Source organism: Homo sapiens, chromosome 4 (assembly GCF_000001405.40).
Source record: "Homo sapiens chromosome 4, GRCh38.p14 Primary Assembly".
In the NCBI taxonomy this organism is placed as follows: Eukaryota; Metazoa; Chordata; class Mammalia; order Primates; family Hominidae; genus Homo; species Homo sapiens.
This window is the reverse complement of record NC_000004.12, coordinates 106,299,478-106,322,493: the sequence shown is the minus strand read 5'-3', so window position 1 is coordinate 106,322,493 and position 23,016 is coordinate 106,299,478. Positions and strand designations below refer to the sequence as shown.

The 23,016-nt window shown below is 37.8% G+C and overlaps 2 protein-coding genes across 27 annotated transcripts in view, besides 3 other annotated features; one reads left to right on the top strand and one right to left on the bottom strand.

Moving 5' to 3' along the window:
* AIMP1 (aminoacyl tRNA synthetase complex interacting multifunctional protein 1) overlaps positions 1–6,950 on the bottom strand; it is a 33,913-nt gene extending 26,963 nt beyond the window's left edge. Inside the window, exon 1 of one of the 5 annotated variants that reach the window (NM_001142415.2) lies at positions 6,858–6,950. The gene's annotated coding sequence lies outside the window, so the exon portion shown is untranslated. Of the gene's footprint in view, positions 1–1,042; positions 1,079–5,683; positions 5,945–6,149; positions 6,560–6,857 lie in introns of those variants that run through there. The other 4 variants (NM_004757.4, XM_047416410.1, NM_001142416.2 and 1 more) reach the window with 4 other exon arrangements.
* Positions 5,736–5,985: an enhancer, noted in NCBI's record as "active region_21787". NCBI's record gives its function as "activates an Ori minimal core promoter by ATAC-STARR-seq in GM12878 lymphoblastoid cells {active_cell/tissue: GM12878}" and the evidence as "EXISTENCE:reporter gene assay evidence [ECO:0000049][PMID:35858748]".
* TBCK (TBC1 domain containing kinase) overlaps positions 5,811–23,016 on the top strand; it is a 275,085-nt gene continuing 257,879 nt past the window's right edge. For 11 of the 22 annotated variants that reach the window (XR_001741353.3, XR_007057984.1, XR_007057982.1 and 8 more), the window contains exons 1-2: positions 6,285–6,563; positions 13,505–13,726. Coding sequence is in view for 14 of the 22 variants with exons in the window: in NM_033115.5 (NP_149106.3) it covers positions 13,534–13,726 (193 nt within the window). In the remaining 8 variants the exon portion in view is untranslated. Of the gene's footprint in view, positions 5,947–6,284; positions 6,568–7,877; positions 12,162–12,275; positions 12,568–13,504; positions 13,727–17,724; positions 17,871–23,016 lie in introns of those variants that run through there. The other 11 variants (XR_007057983.1, XM_047416425.1, XM_017008846.2 and 8 more) reach the window with 6 other exon arrangements.
* Positions 6,476–6,535: an enhancer, noted in NCBI's record as "active region_21786". NCBI's record gives its function as "activates an Ori minimal core promoter by ATAC-STARR-seq in GM12878 lymphoblastoid cells {active_cell/tissue: GM12878}" and the evidence as "EXISTENCE:reporter gene assay evidence [ECO:0000049][PMID:35858748]".
* Positions 6,616–6,705: an enhancer, noted in NCBI's record as "active region_21785". NCBI's record gives its function as "activates an Ori minimal core promoter by ATAC-STARR-seq in GM12878 lymphoblastoid cells {active_cell/tissue: GM12878}" and the evidence as "EXISTENCE:reporter gene assay evidence [ECO:0000049][PMID:35858748]".

Below are 23,016 nucleotides of genomic sequence, written 5' to 3'. Positions count from 1 at the left end.
ATTAATTATCATTTAAATTTTTTAAAAATATAGGTTGGATGCATAAGTTTATGTTAATGTTTTCTAGTAACATGCAGATAATGATCACTAGCACTGGCAGAGGAACATGGGTATATATACCCTTGGGCTTGCTTATATATACTTAGACTGTGTGACCTTGGTAAAGTTATCTAAATTTTCTATACTTTTTTTTTTTAATTTTTTTTAGTATTTATTGATCATTCTTGGGTGTTTCTTGGAGAGGGGGATTTGGGAGGGTCATAGGACAATAGTGGAGGGAAGGTCAGCAGATAAACATATGAACAAAGGTCTCTGGTTTTCCTAGGCAGAGGGCCCTGCCGCCTTCTGCAGTGTTTGTCCCTGGGTACTTGAGATTAGGGAGTGGTGATAACTCTTAAGGAGCATGCTGCCTTCAAGCATCTGTTTAACAAAGCACATCTTGCACCGCCCTTAATCCATTTAACCCTTAGTGGACACAGCACGTTTCAGAGAGCACGGGCCATTTAACCCTTAGCGGACACAGCACATGTTTCAGAGAGCAGGGGCCATTTAACCCTTAGTGGACACAGCACATGTTTCAGAGAGCACGGGGTTGGGGGTAAGGTTATAGATTAACAGCATCCCAAGGCAGAAGAATTTTTCTTAGTACAGAACAAAATGGAGTCTCCTATGTCTACTTCTTTCCACACAGACACAGTAACAATCTGATCTCTCTTTCTTTTCCCCACATTTCCCCCTTTTCTATTCGACAAAACTGCCATCGTCATCATGGCCCGTTCTCAATGAGCTGTTGGGTACACCTCCCAGACGGGGTGGCGGCCGGGCAGAGGGGCTCCTCACTTCCCAGATGGGGCGGCCGGGCAGAGGCGCCCTCCACCTCCCAGACGGGGCGCCGGCCGGGCGGGGGCTGCCCCCCACCTCCCGGACGGGGCCGCTGCCGGGCGGAAAGCGGAAACGCTCCTCACTTCCCAGACGGGGCGGCTGCCGGGCGGAGGGGCTCCTCACTTCTCAGACCGGGCAGCCGGTCAGAGACGCTCCTCACCTCCCAGACGGGGTGGCGGCGGGGCAGAGACACTCCTCAGTTCCCAGACAGGGTCGCGGCCGGGCAGAGGCGCTCTTCACATCTCAGACGGGGCGACGGGGCAGAGATGCTCCCCACATCCCAGATGATGGGCGGCTGGGCAGAGACGCTCCTCACTTCCTAGACAGGATGACGGCCGGGAAGAGGTGCTCCTCACTTCCCAGACTGGGCGGCCGGGCAGAGGGGCTCCTCACATCCCCGACGATGGGCGGCCAGGCAAAGACGCTCCTCACTTCCTAGACGGGGTGGCGGCCGGGCAGAGGCTGCAATCTCGGCACTTTGGGAGGCCAAGGCAGGCGGCTGGGAGGTGGAGGTTGTAGCGAGCCAAGATCACGCCACTGCACTCCAGCATGGGCAACATTGAGCACTGAGTGAGCGAGACTCCGTCTGCAATCCCGGCACCTCAGGACGCCGAGGCTGGCAGATCACTCGCGGTCAGGAGCTGGAGACCAGCCCGGCCAACACGGTGAAACCCCGTCTCCACCAAAAAATACAAAAACCAGTCAGGAGTGGCGGCGCGCACCTGCAATCCCAGGAACTCGGCAGACTGAGGCAGGAGAATCAGGCAGGGAGGTTGCAGTGAGTCAAGATGGTGGCAGTACAGTCCAGCCTCGGCTCGGCATCAGAGGGAGACGGTGCGGAGAGGGAGAGGGAGAGGGAGAGGGCTATACTTTTCTTAATTTAAAAAATTACTTGTACCTGATTTCACCTCCTACTTCCTTGTCACCTCCTTTCAGGGCTCCTTTTTTTTTTAATCTGTCCCATTAATGATGCTGTTCTTCAGGGTTTGGTCTTAATCACTAATCTTTTCTAGGGATCACAAACTAGCCTGACAAAGTTCAGGGATAGCTTTCTTTTCCAGGGCTAACAGTGTTGGAAATAACTGATGTGAATGTCTTTAAGTAAGACAGACAGACACTTTACTACTCCCTGTTGTCTGCCATTTATATTACCTACCAGGCTCCTAAAATAAGTTCATGACCCCAACTTTACACTCCCTGATTTTGTGTCATGTGCTGGGTTTATAGTAGAGAACAAAAATAAACATGTTCTTTGAACTAACTAAGCTTTCAGACAAATGGGGGAAACACAGTTGAAGACATTTTTAAAATAATGTTACGCTTAGGGCACAGTGATAGTTTAACAACAATACTGCTTAAAGCTCAAACAAATCTTTTACCATTCAACCCAGTGCTCATTTCATTAATCTCTATGCTAATTACTCCCCTGTGATTTTTCAATTTTACATTGAGTATAAGTCAACCTTCAAAATTTTAAATCCTCAGAGTTTCTAATATGTATAAAGTTTCTCATAGATGATAATAACAACTACATATATTTGTAGAACATGCGCTATGGCTGGCTAAATGCTTTACACAAGTCAATTTCGAATACTGTAATAATCTCCATTATACAGAGAAGAAAACTTGAATTAAAATTAATTTGCCTCATGTAATACATAGTAAACGAGGATTGAAACTCAGGTCTGTCTGATGCTGCAGTTAGCTCTTTTAATGCTCTAGCTATAATTTCTCTAAAGGATATAATTACGAAGCATTTTCCAATATATTTAATGACAGAATCCTAACACAGGAACAGCTATTAACATTTATTTGAACTAGTATTCTCTAAAACAGTTTAGGAAATGCTAGTTTAAGTCTCTGGACTAAAATGTAAAAAAATTAAGACTGTGAGATTAAAATAGATATAAGAATGACATGCACAGTAATTGAAAATATAAAACATTTATGAAGAGAGAAGCACAGAAAACTGTAGACCAAGTATGTTAATTGTGTTTGGTGAGGATCAAGACCTTTTCTTTTTCCTTTACTAAATTAAAATGGTAATAATGCATTTTTTAGGACAAAAGCTTTTGAAACATATTATCTAAATCATTCTGTCCCTTCACATTAATTTTGTCCTTCTCAATGTTAATTATCATACTTCATCAAACCTAAAAAGCCATTAATCATACGATGCCTCTAATGCAGAATCCCAAATACTGTACATGAATTTATAGTACATCTTAATCATTAAAATACACACACAAAAGATGATTTTTGAGATTCTGAGATCTTCACTATCATTTTTGTTTACTGAGCAATTTCCTCAGTAGTCCTCCCCACCCACACCATCTAAATTGCCTGCAATCTTTTTGAAAAAGCAAAATCTCTGCCCCACGATGACAACATTGGGAATCAAACATAAGTAAGTTACTACTTTGAAATCAAAGTTTTACAGGCAGACTTTTAATTTTAGAATTCTTATGCTATATAGGAACGCTACACAAATTTGAAAGTGTCTCTACTCAAAACCTCTAATTTCCCTATTTCAGAATTACAGTAGGTAAAAATTTACATTTTTGTTGGAAGCTTTAAATACTATACAAGAAATCTAAAATGCCATCAATTGTAAAATGGCTTCAATCCCAAGAAGCTCTATTATTTTATGTACATTATGAAAAAAAACACTATTGAATCAACTGACCCAATGCTTTCTTATTACTTAGACACATCCTATATTATTTATTGACAGACTTCTTTTAAATTTAACCCTGGATTTTTATCTTGTATCACCCTTTGTTTCCCCACATACACAGTAACTTTTCATTCTAATGCTAATCATAATCTTCTAAATGATCTTTAAAAGGGAAATTACACTCAACAACTATATGCCAATAGTGCATATATAACTCAACTGAAATAATGACAAGATTAAGTTATGACTAAGTGGGTGTAAGTGTGGGCAATGACAAATATCTCACAACTGCCAATTCATCTACAGTGATTTAAAGATGTCAACAACTTAAAAATACATCCCTATTTCAGAGATGTTAAGTAAGAGAAAAATGTGTATCTCAGAATTGATGGAATATAGTAATTTTAATCATTTTCTTCCTTTCTTCTCCTCCCTTCATTCCTATTCTTGCCTTCCAACTTCTTTCCCTGATTTGCTACACAATCTAATTACTGGATATGTAAAAATATTATAGTATACATAAAATACCCCACACTGAAAGACCGTCCTTATTATAGTGTAAAGCAATGTGGTACCTTTTAGCACTAGGTGAAAATTCCTGCTAGGATTTAAATCATATGTGTCAAAAGTCAGAATTTAAAGAAGAAAATTAAATACACTGAGAACAATGCATCTGAAGACACTCAAAATATGTAAGCGCAGCAACCAGCAGTAATTCCCTAGGTCTTTTATCAACCTTTGCCAAAACCTATAAAAAGAATATCTAAAATTGCTTTTTTATGGAAGTTCCTATTTCCCTTACCAGACAGCCTGCTTTCCCTTTACTGATGAGGACATAGGGGGTCCTGGAGGGTTTAAAGGATGGCTATAAGGAATGACTATAGGGTGGACAGCTATGAGAGGCCAGTCCATGCATTTCTAAATACCATCGTCATTAACACAAAAACTTTCCTCCCCAGTACAGAGTCCATAAAATTTAAAAAGGAGTATGCCTTGGCCTCCCATGACCCTCTTACCTCACAATAAGGCCATCTTTTACCTGGTTAAGATTTGCAGACTAGACCCATTACATACCTTGTCATTAAATACCTATAATATACCCTAACCTTTGCAATCTTGACAGATGTGATTTCCATTTTATAGACAGATCCAGGAAAATTACATGACTTATCTGAATCCCTTCAAGTACCACATAGCAAAGCCATGATTTTAACTTGTGTTTGCCACTCTGAAACTCACACTGGAATTCATTTTTCAAGTGTCCTCCAAAGCCTAATTAAATAAAATTAACCCTGTCATCTATAATACTCTTACATATCCAAATTAAGTGCATCAAGAATATAACTGGCCATTTCTTACCACCCATAGTCAAACCACCATTATGCTTCCTCTGGATTATTGCAAAACTCTTCTTATTGGTCTCCTTTCTCCTACCACGTCCTCCTCTGTGTATTTTCCTTAAAGAGTGACCCTCTTAAAAGGAAGTCAGAGCCCATCACTCTACTGCTCAAAACGCTCCAAAGTCCTATTTCATTTAGAATAAAAGTTAGATGTCCTCAAGATCTTCATGACCTGCTCGCCTTGATTTAATCTCCAGTGAAGGACTAAACCCTTCACTCAACTCTGCCCTACAGGCCTCCTTGCTATTCTAGCACGTTTCTGCTTCATGACCTCTGCAATGGCTGGTCCCTCTGTCTGACTGCACTTTCCCAAGATATTCGCGTGGTTAAATCTCCCACTTCTGTCAGCCCTTTACTTAAAAGTCATCTTTTCAGCAAGACCTTCCTGTGTCACTTTATACCCTTCTTCCCTGCTTTACGTTTCTCTTCAGGACTATCACGACCTAAAATACAGTATGTTTCTAATTACTTTGCTTAGTATGTGCCTTCCTCTCTAAAATGTGAGCTACAAGTAGACACAGATTTCCGTCTGTTTTGTTCACTGCTGTTCACCTAATGCCTAGAACGGTGTCTGGAATAGAGTGGGCGCTTAATAACTATTCGCTCAATGAATAAATTCCTGTCTTCACCCTCCTCTCCCCCAAAGCACCTAAGTCCTTTGACACACACATTCACATAACAGTAAATACGCTTAGGGATCGATATTTTTCTGTAGCATTCTTAACTTAGGCCTGCATCCCATTTCTCAAACGTGGCTCCTTTAGAAGGAAGTCTCAAACTCTTTCCTGTTTCCTTAGGCCAGGGCTGGTCCTGCTGCGAACGGACTACCCATTAGCAGCGCAGGCCAGGTCCTCTCTCCTGGAGGCAAGTTAGAGAAGGAAGACCCCTACGATCGCAATCGGCGATCCCCGAGTGAGTGACCCGCCACGACGTCACTCACATGAAGCGGAGGACCACGGGTTCCGAGACAGCCACAGCAGGAAGCATGTAGGTCCAGCCACCCGCGTACTATAGCAGTGAGAAAGGACCCAATGAGGTGTCCTTGCTGAAAGCCTGAGTGTTCTACAGATTCAACCCTCAATTCTTTCTTCCTCTTCCTGTGCTCAGTCCCATTAACCTGCCATACCACGCTCCTCGTCTTCCATTCCCTCACCCAGTATTTTCAATCGACCCCCCCCGTCCCCCCGCACCTCTTTCTCTCTCGCTATATGTCCTTTCGTGGCCAGTTTGGGCAAGGGGAAGGACACCACAAGTCGGGGTCTTTCCTCAGCGTTGGGTCGCGGTGGCTGTGAGGGCGGAAGAAAAGGCCAGGCTGAGGGGAGGGTAGAGGGTGAAAAGCTCGGATCTGTGTTTGGGGAAGGCCAGGCTTGCGCTCCTCGCCGGGTTCCGCGAAGGTTAACCTTGGCTGACTTGGCTCGCGAGCAAAGGGCAGCGTCTGAGCTCCCGGCGTTCCAGGAGTGGCCTCTTTTGTAGGAGCACCTGAAATGCAGCGTCTGGTGCACTAAGCCGTAGCGGCAGCAGCAGCCACAGCGACAGCGCTGGGGCCCTGTGTAGAAGCTCCATCCCCCTTGTCTTTGTGCTTGCCTGCGTCCCCAGACTCAGAGGCAGGTATTTGGGTAATCCAGTTTTCCGTGTCGTAGTGGGTGGGGTCTGTGGGAGGTAGAGGACTATCAGGAGCAGTGAGTGGCCCCGCATGTCTTCAGAATAGATAGAGAACCGAGCTGTGGAGCCGCTTGCTGATAGGTACTGTCTCCATCCCTAGCTACAGCCCGCCTTTCCTGTAAATCAGGTTCACCTGAGTCGTTTGGGAACCGTAGGCTTAGTAATCGCTCTGTCACTGCCTCAAAGGAAGGCTAAAGGAGGTTAGAGAATCTAGAATCCGCCCCTCCATTACTCACCTTGGAGGCAGAATTTTGCTTTGGTTTGTTTCTGGCCCTCGAGGTTTAGTCAGTCGTCAAAGTGTAACACCCCCTTGAGCAGTAGGAGAAAGTGAAGCAGAGGAAGGAAGTTACTTGAGGATTGTCAGTGGCTGCTTTTCAAGGATCCCTGTCCTGGTTTCTATCTATTTGAGACAAAAATAACCTCTTGAGAGAATGTATATATAAAATAAATGAATTAGTATCATTTTCCTGTTGAAGAAATGTGAAATTTTATTCATGATAAAATCGGCGTCTTTTGCCCTATTTTTTACTTTCTTTCCCCATTCGAGTCGTTTAAAACTCTAAGTTCTTTGAGGGCACAGAGTCTGACTTGTTCATTATCCTTTGCCCACCAGCTGGAAAAACAACTGACTTAAAATAGGGGCTTCAAAATATTTGTTGAATGAATGAATTTTCAAGCCCAACTGCTTGCACTGCTGTTTCCCTCATCTAATCTCTCATCTCTACGTTTTTTTTCCCCCGGTAGTTTTCTTCCACTCACGAGGTGTAAGTGAATGTATGTGTGTGTATTTTTGTGTGTGAGCCTTTTTATGTACAACCATTTAAGAGGTAGTGGAAAAAGAACACTGATTATGCTAATTAGTGTTTTATCTTTTTCGATCATTGTGTTTTATTTGGTTATTTTATTTTCAGCTATGTGATGATAAAGACATCTGATTGAAAATAAAATGGTCGGGCGCGGTGGCTCACGCCTGTAGTCCTAGCACTTTGGGAGGTCGAGGCGGGTGGATCACCTGAGGTCAGGAGTTCAAGACCAGCCTGGCCAGGATGGTGAAACCCCGTCTCTACTAAAAATACAAAAATTAGCCGGGCGTGGTGGCGGGCGCCTGTAATCCCAGCCACTCTGGAGGCTGAGGCACAGAATCGCTTGAACCCGGGAGGTGGAAGGATGCAGTGAGCCGAGATCATGCCACTGCACTCCAGCCTTGATGACAGAGTGAGACTCTGTCTCAAAAAAAAAAAAAAAAAAAAAAAAAATCAAGTAGTATAGCGTAGTAGGATTGAATAATAAAGTGCAACTGTCTCACCTGTCCTACTCTCAGTACTGTTCTTCAAAGATAACCACTTTTAACCTTTTCTAATTTTAGGTCTGTAGGTTAAATAATAAGTTAAACTGTTAATTCTTTTTGTTGACTTCTTGAGATAGCCCTAAGTTGAACTGCTAATTCTTTTTCCGTTGACTTCTAGAAATAGCCCACACCATTCACAATCTCCTCTGAATTTTGGAAGAGTCATAATCATAATTTTTAGTTTTTGTATTGGTTACTTTATAATTCAAAATAATATACGTAAACTACTTTTTTCACATCAACTTTTGAAAATATATTTGACTCCTTGTTTGGTAAAACGAGAAAAGTAGTGATTCTACCTTTTTCTTTATCACTTCAGAAACTACATTTATGCCCACTTTCTCTTAGCTGGACATTTACTTGTACATTGTCAAAGTTAGTAATATATTTCTTAACTATAACATTTGCGCTTTATTCACGTGCCAAAAACCAATAAAAAAAATAAAATGTTTACAGTATTATGGCTTTATAGTTGTTACTTAGAGCAAGTCCAAGCTGTATGCTCTGATATGTTTTTTTCCCCAGAGTTTTAACTTCATGATCCCTGTGCCATACTAAGGAGATTATTTATGATATCAAGGTCAAATGGGTTTTTATTTCTTTCCTGCCAAGGGCAAAATATGCTGTAGTTGAGCATGCTTTATATTTTGGAGTATGTAATACATAGTTTTTAACCGTCCCCACTTTCTTAATTGCCTTTCTGCTTTCTCCTGGGGAATAGGTAGGTGGATGTGCTTTCTTCACTGAATCTTCTCATTCTTTGTATGATGCACATAGAAGCAAGCTTCCATTCCTCTGTTTGAAGATTTTCCCCTTAAAGCCCAATGGCTTTCTGTTTAATTTGAACAGATTGCATTCTAGTCCTTTTGTATTGCTCCTATCCTGGGCTTATATTCATTCTTGGGTAAATAACATTGTTTCTTAGCCCCTCATCTTCTGTTATTGGGCTTCCCCCTATTTCCCTGGAATATATCCTAAGGAAACTTGCTCACAAAAGGCAAGTGAAAGGTAATTTTATTTTTTAATGTTCGTATAGCTGTAAATTATAATTTGCTCTTATGACTGATAATTTGGCTGTATATAGAATCAAAAGTATTTTCCTTCAACTCTCAATCCTTCCATGTCTTCTAACTTTTTTTTTTTCCTTTTTTTTGAGCTGGAGTCTCACTGTGTTGCTCAGTCTGGTCTGAAACTCCTGACCTCACGTGATCCTCCCACCTCAGCCTCTCAAGTATCTGGGATCACAGGCACAAGCCACTGCACCAGGCTCTCTTCTGACTTTCATTATTGCTGATGAGAATGCCAGTCTCACTTTAACTTGTTGATAGCAGAATCAGTTTTTTCTGTCTGAAATGTTTACAATTTTCTAGTTACGTTTGATGCTTTGAAAATGTATAGCAGTGTTTATCTTCTCATAAGCTGTTTTATTTTGTGTGAGATAAAATTTGATACATATTAAAACACATTGATTTTAAGTGGCCAATTTAATGAGTTTTGATGCATGTACTCATCCATAAAACCACTACCACCACAATCGAGATAGAGAATATTTCTACCACTACAGAAAGTTCCTCTGTTTCTCTGCTTATTCAACCCCTCTCCCCCATCTACAGTACTATCTTCTGATTTTTTTATTAATACTATAGTTTAGAACTATAGTTCTGGAATTACATTTAAATGGAGTCATACAGTATGAACTCTTTTGTGTCTGCTTCTTTCATAAACTTTATGTTTTTGAGTATATCCATGTTTTGACATGTTTGTTCCATTTTTGTTAAATAGAATTTCATGGTACAAATATGTTAATTGATTCACTTATGGGACATTTGCATTGCTTCTGGTTTTTAGCTATTAAGAGTACAGTTCCTATGAACATACTCATACAGTGTTTTTTTTTATGGACAAATGTTTTCATTTTTCTTGGTTAAAGAGTGGAATTTCTGAGTCATAAGTTAGGGATATTTTTAACTTTAGAAAAGTTTTCCAAATATTTTCCAAAATTCTTTTGCCATTTTACGCTCCCACTAGCAATATAGCAAAGCTCCACTTCCACATTCTCAACACTTGTTACTGCCAGTCATTTAAATTTTAGCCATTGTAGAAGTTAAAGGTTTGTCATTGTGATTTTCATTTGCATTTCCCCCAATTAATGATATTAAGAACTTTTTCATGTGCTTATTATTTTCATGCCTTGTGTGAAAATATGTTTGTGACTTTTACCTATTTATGTATTGGCTTGTTTTATTATTGAATTGTGGTATTTCTTTATAGACTCCGAATACAGGTCAATTATATACAGACACACATATGTTTGATTTTAAAAGGTCATATATATACATAATGTCATATGTATATACAGACAGATGTAAATAATATTTCCCTTTAACTCGAATTTTTATTTTCTCAGGGGTGCCTTTGGATATGCAGATGTTTTTAATTTTGATGAAGTCTACTTTGTCAAAATTGTCTTTTGTGGCTAGTGCTTTGTTCTATTGTGTCTAAGAAATCTTTGCCTAGCCTAAGGTTGTAAAGATATTCGCTTATGTTTTCAATTAGAAGACTAACAGTTTTACCTTTTACGCTTAAGCCTATGTTCCATCTTAGATTTTTGTGGATGTATCAGTAGAAGTTGAGGTTATTATTTTTTTATATGAATATCTTTTTCCAGCACCATTTGTAAAAAGGACTTTCCTTTTCCTGTTGAACTCTTTTGCTTTTGTTGAGAATCAATTTATTTTATTTAAATTCTTTTAATTATGAAATATGTGGTATTAACACACACATATGTAGATAAATATAGATACAGAGCATGGAAATTACCAAGCATAATGATAACATGAACACCCATTAATTCACCAGCTAAAAACTAGGCTATTACTCAAGATTTTTGAAGCTTTTTATGAATTTTTCCCTAACCTTACCCCACTTTAATTTGGTAGTAACCCATATTCTGAGTATTTTTTTTAAATTCCCTTACTTATTGAATATATTCTTACAATAGATATAAGTATTCCAGAATTATTTGTTTTATTTTTTGTTTTTGAGTTTTATGAAAACTGGAATATTTTATGTTACTTTTTTCACTCAATATTATATTTCTAAGATTCATCTATGCTATTAAATATGGCTATAGTTTGCTTATTTTTCATTATGTATACAGGTGAATAAAGCACAATTTATTTAACCATTTACCTACCATTGGACATTTAAATTGTCTCCAGCTTGGGGATATTAGGAGCAATAATACTGCCTTGATCTTTCTTGCACAGGTCCACTCTGTGTGTGTGTGTGTGTGTGTGTGTGTGTGTGTGTGTGTGTGTGTGTAGGAGTTTCTGTAGGAATATAATAGCAAGATAGTGTAAAACATATCTAGTGATTTTACTAATTTACACTCCCACTTACAGCAAATTAGAGATCCTATTTTTCCACATCCTTCTAACATTATGTGTTATCAGATTTCTTAATTTTTGACTGTCCAGTAGATAAAAATTTTTTGTGGTTTTAATGTGCAATTCCTTGATTATTCATGAGGTTGTTTATCTTCTCATGTATCTATTGGCCATTTCTCTTTATTCTTTTGTATAATGTGTTTTTCTATAACTTGTTTTATGTAATGGATGCAATATCTCCTCAAATCTCTCTATGTTTGTTAGAGTTGGTTTTTGTGTTATTTTTTCATAAATTATTTCAGTTGCTTCCAAAGCCAGATTTTTGGAGGTTTATTTCATTGTTTGCCCTTGATACTGTAGTCTTTCCTCAACTATCTGATGATTCTCAGACAACTCATTATTTAAGAGCTAAGGCTTCCTGGGAGCTTTGCATATATGGACAGGCTTATTGACGGATATATTTTGTTTTAGGATGGCTGGGTGAACAGCCAAATCTTAGCTGGGGTCCTACAAATTCCGGAATTGTGAGGAGTTTGCTCTTCTCACCAGTGTCCATAGCAACTAGTGTAGTTCTCAGTTTGTTCAGCTTCTTTAGGGAAGAACCTTATCTTTTTCTTTTTTTCATGGAGTGTAAATAACTGCCAATGTTGTGGGGCTGGTGGCAGAATTGACGCTTCTAATTATTCAACACTTCACCCTTCTGATTTCAAACCCTCTGACTGCTGTTTAACATTGTTCCCGCCTTCTCTGAGTCTGAAGCCTCTGAATCTGAAGGGACCAAACAAACCTCTTGACTATTACAGGTTGTAGCTTATTTCTTTCTGCTTCACTCTTCCTTATATATTTTGTTTTGTACAAGTTTCTAGAAATCTTTCATCACCTCATGGCCTGTTTCTCTTTTCTTCCTTGTTAAGGGTTTATACGTTTTATAATATTTTATTTTTAATGATTTCAGTAAGGTTTCTTGTCAAAGTGGATTTATTGAATTGGAATTCCAGCATATTTATCATTAAGCTGAGAAGGGAAAAATGCAGGGCTTTACCAGTAGAATGTCTTCTTAGTGAGGTCCATGGGTAAAAGATTTTTGTGTCAGAAGACCCTTTTTTTTGTTGTTATGGTTGCCTTAATGTGATTCAGATTGATATGGAGCAAGTTTCCTACTCTCCAGGCTACTACTTTACGCAACTTTGGGGCACCATTTATTTTGGAGTAAGTGCAAATAGGACGCCTCATGCTATACACATGGAACAACTATCTCTAAACTGGAGCCAATAGCTCTGTCAGGATTATTAAAAGGATTAAAGCAGATCATACATTATGTAAAATATCTAGCATAAAAATGAAAATTGGTTATTTAATATTATAGAGCCTTCTTTTAATCTAGTTTAAGCTTTACTACTATTAATAAGGTCCCCTATTCGTTACTAGTTGGTACCTATATTTCCTCTTTCCTGACCTACCTCACTGTATGAGAAGGAAGGTTGTCAGTGGTGTGTGGGTTATTCAATCTTTAGGTAAAGAGAGGAGCCTTATTGGCTGGGTGTGGTGGCTCACGCCTGTAATCCCAGCACTTTGAGAGGCCGAGGCGGGTGGATCACGAGGTCAGGAGTTCAAGACCAGCCTGGCCAACATAGTGAAACCCCATCTCTACTAAAAATACAAAAAGTTAACTGGGTGTGGTCGTGGGTGCCTCTACTCGGGAGGCTGAGGAAGGAGAATTGCTTGAACCCGGGAGGCAGAGGTTGCAGTGCGCGGAGATCACACCACTGCACTCCAGCCTGGGTGACAGTGCGAGACTGTCTCAAAAAAAAAAAAAAAAAAAAAAAAAAAGAGAAGAGCCTTATTAATAATATGAAGATGCAGTAACAAACTTCCTCTACTCTTTAAACTGTCAAATGTCATTGAGAATGGAATAATCTTTTCTTTTTTATGCCATTGAAAATCTTAGAGTTTGATTTAGAGCTGCAATATAAATTTATGCTGAGTTGTTTTGTCCTCTGATATTTTAGAATTTTCTTATACTTTGATATTTTTACTGTGAAGTGTTCAGGTTGGCATTTTCCTCCAAGTTGTATGTTAATCATGCTTAAGATTTGGTCTGTCTGGCTTAATGTTTGGTCTGTCCTAAAATTCTCTCCTTTTCCAGATTATCTTAGAAGACCTAGGACTCCAAAAATGTTTCCCCTGAAGGACGCTGAAATGGGAGCCTTTACCTTCTTTGCCTCGGCTCTGCCACATGATGTTTGTGGAAGCAATGGACTTCCTCTCACACCAAATTCCATCAAAATTTTAGGGCGCTTTCAAATCCTTAAAACCATCACCCATCCCAGACTCTGCCAGTATGTGGATATTTCTAGGGGAAAGCATGGTAAGTTATTTTCTTTTTTTTCCTATTTATGTTCTCTACTTTGTTACCCTAAGTTATAAATACTATATCCACTAAATATATAAAGCTATCATCAGTACCAGTGCACACATGTCCTTCTTTCTCTCATCCTTTTCCCCCACCCTGCCTCTCTCTCGTACACTTCCCCATTTACTTGCAAATCTACCAGGTAAAATTCAAACTCTTTACTAGGCTATTGCATACAAAATCCTTCATCTAGTCCTTGATCTAGTCTGTGCTGTCCTCTTTCGATGTATTGCTTGTTGTTTCCACTAATTTAACCCTTCATGCCAGCCAAGCTGAGTTGCTTTGAGGTTTTTTGATTCACATATCCTTGATTTTGTACTTTGCAATTTTCTCTCATGGATTATGCTATGCTCCATTCCCTGCAATCTGAGCTAAGTCTTTTTCCTAAGTTCTTTTATAGCTTTTATCACATTTTATTATTTTCTATTTAATTTTTCTCCTCTGAGGATTCTTAGTTCTTGAGGATAAGGACCTTTACTTGTGACCTCAGAGCACTCAATAAGTGTTTGTTAGCTGAATGAATGAATTAACAACTATATTTGAATGATTAATGTTTCTCAGATCTGAGAATCAGGATTTTTAATTTTCTTTTTCAGGGAAACCGTCTATTCTTAAACATATTTCTTTATCTATATGAAGGAAATGAAGTTCTAATGTTAGGAACTTTAGAAGAATTATCTAACAATATATTTTATGATTGAAAGTAATGATTTTGGCAACTGTCTTCAAATGAAAAGGGAGTCAGTAGATTTTTTTTTTTAAACTCCATTAGTCTTTTTATATAGCAGCCCATTTAGAGAACTGAATTAGAAAAGTTGAACCCTATTGGTTAAAAAGTCAGTGTTTGAGGAAGATGTTTACTGCGTTTTTAGTAGTGTAATCAGGTTCTTTCATTCTCCACTTAAAGATTCTTATGGTGGCAATATTTTTAATTATTTCAGAATTATTTTTGGAAGCTTAATTGCAGGGTAAGGTTGCATTTCTTAAAAATATTTTAAATGCATTTCAGTGAAATGTATTTAATTTTTCTAACATAAAATAATTTGTAGACGTAAAAAAATCTGAAAGTAAACCCTATGTAGTTGGTGATATTCAACTTTTTCCCTATAAAAGTGGCAATTTTATGTGTTTCAACCTAATATTAAAAACCCTGATAAATGCAAACAATGTTTTCTTTACTGTTTTGCTGAAAATAGACTAAACTGTACTTTCAAGTTCCCTGGTTTATTTCTCTTAAAATATTTACTCTGAGAATATTTGTGTTTTATAGACTGAGTAGAAATTTTTTTTGTAATGATAATTATTAATCGTTAAAATTTATTGAGCGTTTATATAAGGCAATATTCTTAGTGTTTTACATATTTTAATTACATATTTTAATTAACTTAATCCTTGTAACATTACTGTGTGAAAGGAACTAGTCCTGTCATTTTACAGATAAGAAAATTAAACCACAGAGCAATTAAGTCAAGGTTCACAATTAATTCATCCAAGGGCACACGAAGGAAATTAAGGAAAAATGGACTGCTAATACATTTTATTATTTTTTGAAAGATTGTACATGTTGCTGTAAGTGTATAATAATGCAAATATTGACAGAATTCTAATCAGAGCTATTCCGTACCATAAATACTGTTGAGCTCTACCACATACCTAGTGCTGTAAATAGTTAGATGTTGTCAGGAGGCTTCGTGAGAGATTTGGGAAAGAGAGTGGTAAAAAAAGTTAATTGTCTAGCAGATGATAAAAAAAAATTTGTTTTTTCATATTGACATATAGGTATATACACACAGACATGTTAAAGTATACATTATTTTATTGAGACTTCTTTTACTGTTCAAGGTTGACTTTGATTGATTGATTCTGCAAATATTAGTAAATGCCTGTCATGTTTGGCTTAATCCCTCAAGCAAGAGCATGGGTGGTGCCATGTTGAGGCCTTAAGGGTCTCTCTCTGTAGGGAACAAATTGGGAAGTCAGAGCTGATAGAAACCTAGCTTTGAAGCAAAAGTAATAAAGGTGCTGATGAGTTGAAGATTTATTTAGGAACCTGTCTTTCTTGTCCACTGCTTTGACAAACATGTACACTGGGGTTATAATACCTTGGTAACCCTTGACTGATACTATGGCCCTCCTTCTGCTAGATGCCAAATATACAAAAATGAGTAACTCATTACCCCAGGTCCCAAGTCAGCTTCAGAAACAGTAGAGAAAAATACAACCATGATAATATTAAATAATACAGTAATAGTTGTTATAATAGGTGATGTACAATGTGCTATGCTATGCTATGGAAGTACAAAGAAGAGAATGTTAATTTTGCGTTGAAGAATATCAAGGCCAAGCATGGTGGCCCATGCCTATAATCCTAGCACTTTGGCATGCTGAGGCAGGAAGATTGCTTGAGGCCAGGAGTTTGAGACCAGCTTGGGCAATGTAATAAGATTCTGTCTCTACCAAAAAAAAAAAAAAAAAAAAAAAAAAAATTAGCCAGGCATGGTGTCTTGTTCCTGTAGTCCTAGCTATTCAGGAGGCTGAGGCAGGAGGATCATTTGTGACAAGGAGTTTGGGGCTGCAGTGAGTTATGATCATGTTACAGGAAAGGGTCCCAATCCAGACCCCCAAGAGAAGGTTCTTGGATCTTGTGCGGCAAGGAATTCAGGGCAAGTCCATAGAGTAAAGTGAAAACAAGTTTGTTAGGAAAGTGAAGGAATAAAAGAAAGGCTACTCCATAGCCAGAGTAGCCCCAAGGGCTGCTGGTTGTCCATTTTTATGGTTATTTTTTGATTATATGCTAAACAATGAGTGGATTATTCATGCGTCCCCTTTTCAGACCGTATAAGGTCACTTCCTGACGTTGCCTTGGAATTTGTAAACTGGTAGGAGTGTAGCAGTGAGGACAACCAGAGGTCATTCTAGTGGCCATTTTGGTTTTGATGGGTTTTAGCTAGCTTCTTCACTGCATCCTGTTTTATCAGCAAGGTCTTTATGACCTGTATCTTGTGCTGACCTCCTATCTCATCCTGTGACTAAGAATGCCTTAACCTCTTAGGAATGCAGCCCAGTAGGTCTCAGCCTCACTTTACCCAGCCCCTATTCAAGATGGAGTTGCTCTGGTTCACACGCCTCTGACAGTCATGCCACTGCACTCCAGCCTGGGTGACAGAGCTAGACCCTGTCTCTAAAGATAAGAAATAATAAAAAATATATATATATTAATCAAACTCATATATAAAAGGTTTTGGTGGGATAAAGGACTTTAGACCACAGAGCAATGGCTCTTCTGTCTGTTATGTTTTATTTGCTTACATTCATTCATTTTGATGATGCTGGTAGTCTCAAAAATTAATGGATTTTCAAAAGATGTTGGCCTTTTATTGTTGACATATTTCTAGGAAACAAAGTCTTAATATCATTATTAATTATTCTTAATTTAAAAAGACATTTATGTCTCTTGATTAATTACAAGCTTACTTTTTTCAAAAATAATTTGAGACAAGATGCAGACATTCATACAGTATTTTATATATAGTACATGAAAGAAAAATAATCAAGGTGAAGATGTAAAAAAGGAAAAAAAACTTTCTCTACTCTCTGATGCTTAATGGTAGGTCCCAGGAATCAAACTGATAAAAGGCTGGTTAACAGGAGAAAAAAACAAACAAACCCAGATTTAATCTATAGGCACAGATTTCACAAAGAAATGCAACTCATGGAGGTAGTTAGAATTGAGGCTTATATACCATCTTCACAAAGGGAAATAAAGTATAGAGAAGAGGGTAGACAAAGGAAGAGGGGTTTGGGATTTGAGAAAGTGACTCAGAAATGCATGGTAAATAAGAATTACTTAGTAAGTTTGTTATGTAGATAAGAGTCATTTTCCTCTTCCTAGTGTAGGAGAGGATAATTTCCAAATGGAATTTATCAAATGGAAATTCCTTTCATCTTTACAGAGGGAGATTTATGTTCTGCTTAGACAGAAATGGAGAGAGAAGAGAGCTAATTGCCTTCACTCAAAATCCTTATGTCAAAGTGGGATATTTTGAGATGGCATATTCTGATTTTCTTCAGGGAGAAAGGAAACAGAATAAGATTTGAGGTTAGTAATATTAATATTTTTTTAGTTGGACTATAAATTTGGTTGTATACTTCTTATAGGCCAGGGCAAAGAAGTAAATCTAACTGCTTCAAATTATTTTTATAATGAGGCAGCTTATTAAGAAATTAATTTCTAGATACTTAAACGTGGAAAAAATATCAATTTAAAGCTTTATAATGTTTGTACAATCTGTTGTCTAGATGAACTATGGAGACTATGGTATAGAAATTTATTTGGTATGAGGATCTGAGATCTCTGATCTGATCTTATGTCTGTTGTTATGGGTTTGCTTTATTGTTCTTTTTGGTGTTAATCTCTGAACTGGGAAGTCTCTGTAGCTTTTTGTCCCCCACCTTTTTTTGTGTGAGGGAGGTACACTGAAGAATGAAGAGGTTCATAAACTTAGAAAGGAGAGCTTTATTTATCATAAGGGTTATAGCCTGCAGGGTGACCACTGTGACAGGCTGGGAAGCATAGCCTTTTGTGAGAAGCTTGAAACAGATACTTTGAGGGAGGGGCAAAGGGAACAGAAATTTATACTGAGCAGAGTGGCCAAATATACATATTCAGTAAGCTGTGGGAGGAGTTATGAATATTTATGAAAGGAGAACCGTGTGTATGTGCATTAAACTTCATTCCCCTTCAAGCCCCTTCATGGGTCCCACATATAAAAAATGGCAATGCTAGCATCATCTGAGGGTCATGATCCGAGGGTGGAGTTTTTGGCCCTCTGATGTCAAAGGTGGAGCAGAGGACACGAAAACCCTTACTGCTTATTCTTGGTAGACTGGCCAGAACCACTTCATGGTTGGTTATCAGGCAAATGGTCTCTTATCAGGCAAAAAAGAAGGGGTAGTGTCAGGTAGTTGGTTGATATCAGTTGTGGAATCTTTTGAAAGGGCTGGTTTTTGTTAAGTCCCTAGGGAAGAAAGCCTAATCATGGTTAAGGGGGTGGGGTATAATGAGGTTGTCTGACCCTAAGTCCTATCATGGCTGAGAACTCAGTTTTCAAGGTTACTCTGGGGTCCCCTTGGCCAAGAGATGGTCTCTTCAGTCAGTTGAAGGGCTTTGAAGATTATTTTTAGTCTATAGTAAACATCTAAGGAAATGAAATTTTAAGTTTAAAATTGCAGCTTCAGTAGGCTTTGGGAGGTCTGTGAACCCCTTCAAATTACATATAAAATTGTGTATGTGTATATACATATGTACACATGTGTTTGCTGAATAATGAAAATGCATAGTTTTTCGCAGATTTTCAAAAAGGATTCCTAATGGAAAAAAAAGAAAAAAGGGCTTAAAAGCACTGGTGTAGAGTATCAAGGGGTATGGAGAGATTATCTTCTTTACTTAAAGGCTAACTTGAGAAGTTCTAATGTCAGGTACTAGACTTTTCAAAATTGATTTGACCTGTACCTAGTGTTGCACCATGTCATATATTTACCAATTAGGAGACCCACAGTCAGGGCCACTGTGTAGGGTTTTGCCTCACTGCATAAAAGCTTCTGGATAATGGAGTAAGTGGGAGCTGAAATCTGATTCTCTAATTTATTCTAGGGGGAGGGGTGCTTTTTCTAATTTGCTTAAAGAGAACTGTGAAGACTAGTGGTAACTATATCTAATAGTAGACTATAGATAGCTCCAGCCATTTGCTGAAAGCCCAGAAAATAACTTTCAGTGAGTTAATTTTTGTTCAAAAAATAATTTTTTGCCAAAGATTTTTATTTGTTACCTGGCTTTAGTGACATTAATTAGATGTTGAAAAATTACGGGGATCATTTGGAGCTTTTTACATCACCAAGCAATTAATAGATATTTTCAATCCCTGTATACTTCAACAGCCCTTACCCTTAATCCAGCTACAGATTCTAAAGAATTTCCAGTTGTAAGTTTATCCTATTTCCAAAACCATTCTTTGGTTGACAGTACAGTAGATGCTGAGTATTAACCATGGGTGGTGAACATCTGTAAATTTGGCAGAGGCCTGTCTTTCCACACTCTTTCCACCAAGAGCCCTTTGTTTATTCCCACTGTATCTGGAAGCCTCTTTGGAGCTTCACTTTATGTATTTGGGGTTTTTTCCTCTGTTCCTAGGCCTCCTTTTCTCAATTGACAAAATAGTTCTAAAGCTCCTTCTTTTCCTTCCTCTACCTAAACGGGCCTCTATAAACACCGAATTAGGAACTGCGTTATAGCATGATTCTCTTTGGGGAGTATTCTTCCTTATTTTCCCTGTGAACCTTCTTTTTGATTATCAAAGTCGGGTGGGAACTGATCCGCTTAGAAACTGTAATCGTTCTACTGATTGTTGTTCTCTGAGGCCAGTTCAACAGCATGGTTAGTCCCGTTAGCCCTGTCCACTATATTGCTGTTTACTCTGCTTCCCTGACCTGCCCTGCTACTCCTGTATTTCAGCAGCCCTCTCTGCTAGGGTAACATAGGTCATGAATATGTGTAAAGTTTATATATTCTAAGTCTAGTTGTCTGAAATGAAAATATGGATTGTCATTAGGCTAGGGAATTTGATTATCTTGTTTTTATTGGCAATGTTTAGCATTCTGAAAAGTTGTGTGTATAAGGAATAATTTACCGTTAGAGTAATTGCTTATGTAAAAGTCTGTTTGTTCCAAAACATTCTAGTCATTTCAGTTGCATCTACTTTGAAAAATTTGAAGTTTCTGATGAACAGTCTCCTTAGTGAAAGTATTTCTCAATATGAACACATATTTTTCAATGGTGTAATACCACATGACTTTGATTTGTGTCTCCTCAAAGAATTTTGATTTTGATTCTACTTTTCCTCTTTTATTCTGTTCTTGCTATGCAGATATCTTGCTATTGTTAGTCATGCCCCCTCCCACCCTGCATGTTATTGTTAAGTCAGTAACAATTGACTTCTTACTTGGAGTCACATACTCTTGTTACATGTGGTCTGTTTTAGTAACATTATGTTTTCACATGTTATGTTAGCTCAGAAGTCTAGCTTTCACTGTTTTCTATAGATCATTCGAAACTAATCAAAGATGATAATATTTTCTTGCTAACTCAGCAGGATGAAGTTTTTAATCTCAGGAATGGCAAACATTTTATTAGAGTTTCAGAATTTTTTTTCTAATAGGAGAAAAATATCTTTAGGAGAAAAAAAGCCAGTAAAGCCTGAAAATACTATGTTAACAAATTTTATCTTTTCTTGTGAGCTTGAAATCTCAGCTGTGTTTAGAAGCAGAGTGAAGATGGTAAATGGTAGTGCATCCTTTTTTATTTGGTATTGATTATCCAGAAATCTTTCAATGATTGCTGGTGAAATCAAGAATAAAAATTATTTTATTTGAAATTAAAGTAGAGAATAATAGAATTATATGGAACTACAAGATAATTTATTCTGTATCTCTAGCATATAAATTTTAATCTGTATTAGTTTCATAAGAGAAACAGAACAAATTATATATATAATTATATAAGTTATTTATGTAAGTTATATGAATATATAAAAAAGAATTGCTGGGAATTGGTTTGCATGATTGTGGGGTGCTGCTAGGCAAGTTTGAAATCCATGAGGCAGGTCTTCAAGAAGGACAAGCTGAACTCTTGGGCAGAAGCTCAAGCTGTCATCCACAGTTGGAATTTATTGTTCTTCATGGAAGCTTCAATTCTGCTCATATTTATTTATTATTTATTTATTTATTTTTCAGAGACAGGAGTCTCACTATATTGCCCAAGCTGGTCTTGAACTCCTGGCTTAAAGTGATCCTCCCGTCTCAGCCTCTCATGTAGCTGGGATTATAGGTGTGAGCCAGTGTACTTGGCTTTCAATTCTGCTCTTAAAGGCTATTAAACTGATTGAATCAGGATTACCCTGATTATCTAGGATAATTTCCCTTAAAGTAAACTGATTATAGACTTTACTCATTTACAAAATAATTTCACAGCAACATCTAGATTAGTATTTGATTGAATGACTGGATTCTATATTCTAGCTAAGCTGACTCATAAAACTGACCATCACAGTGTTCTGGTACCAATACTATTCTTTAAGCATAATGTTTTTCTTTGTTGGTTTTGAACTGTATAAACACTTATTGAAATATCATATTTTAAAGGTGATGAGCTAGTCTCGATTTTTACTGTTAATAACAAAAGTGATGCAGTAAATATATTGTAATAACCCTTTATATTATTTTAAGACATTCATGATTCACCTCTTTCTCTAAATTTAAACAAAAAAACCACTACTTTAAAAAACTTTATTTTACTTCCCCCTACTCCTTATTCAACTCCTTTATTCTTGCTTAAATGTGTGTTCTCTTCAGTTTCTTAGTGTTAACTTTGTATTAGCCTGTTTTCACACTGCTGATAAAGACATACCCAAAACTAGGTAATTTGTACAGGAAAAACGTTTAATGGACTTACAGTTCCACGTGGCTGGTGGGGCCTCACATTCATGGTGGAAGGCAAGGAGGAGCAAGTCACGTCTTACATGGATAGCAGCAGGCCAAAAAAAGAGAACTTGTGCAAGGAAACTCCCCCTTATAGAACCATCAGATCTCATGAGACTTATTAATTATCACAAGAACAGCATGGGAAAGACCTCCCCTGTGATTCAATTACCTCCCACTGGGTCCCTCCCACAACACGTGAGAATTCAAGATGAGATTTGGGTGGGAACACAGCCAAGCCCTGTCAAACCTAAAACACACAGTTCAGGCTAGAGACGCTACATCATACTTTTGCTTCCTCAAATCTTTGTTAGAAGTAAGACTATTTCACAATTATTGTATATTCTACTCTTTAAAGTTCATCTTAGCATCACATTATTTTTTATAAATAATGCTACTACATTGATGATTTATATTTGGCACATTATGATTCCTAAATGCTTTATTCTGTGAAACTATATTGTTTTTATAACATGTTATTTTTAAACAGTGGTCCAGAGATTTCAGAATGAAGACTCTCTAAAGATTTCTTTAAAAAAATGGTTCATATTGGAAATATTGTTTTGGTATACACTCCATTATCTCTGGGAGAAACTTTGATGTTCTGCTGAGGATTATGGCTCAGCAGTATTAAAACTATGCTTAATAGTTCCATAGAATCTTGAAGCTTTGGCAAACACTTGTTTATGATGTTTTGAAGGGGTTTCCAGAAA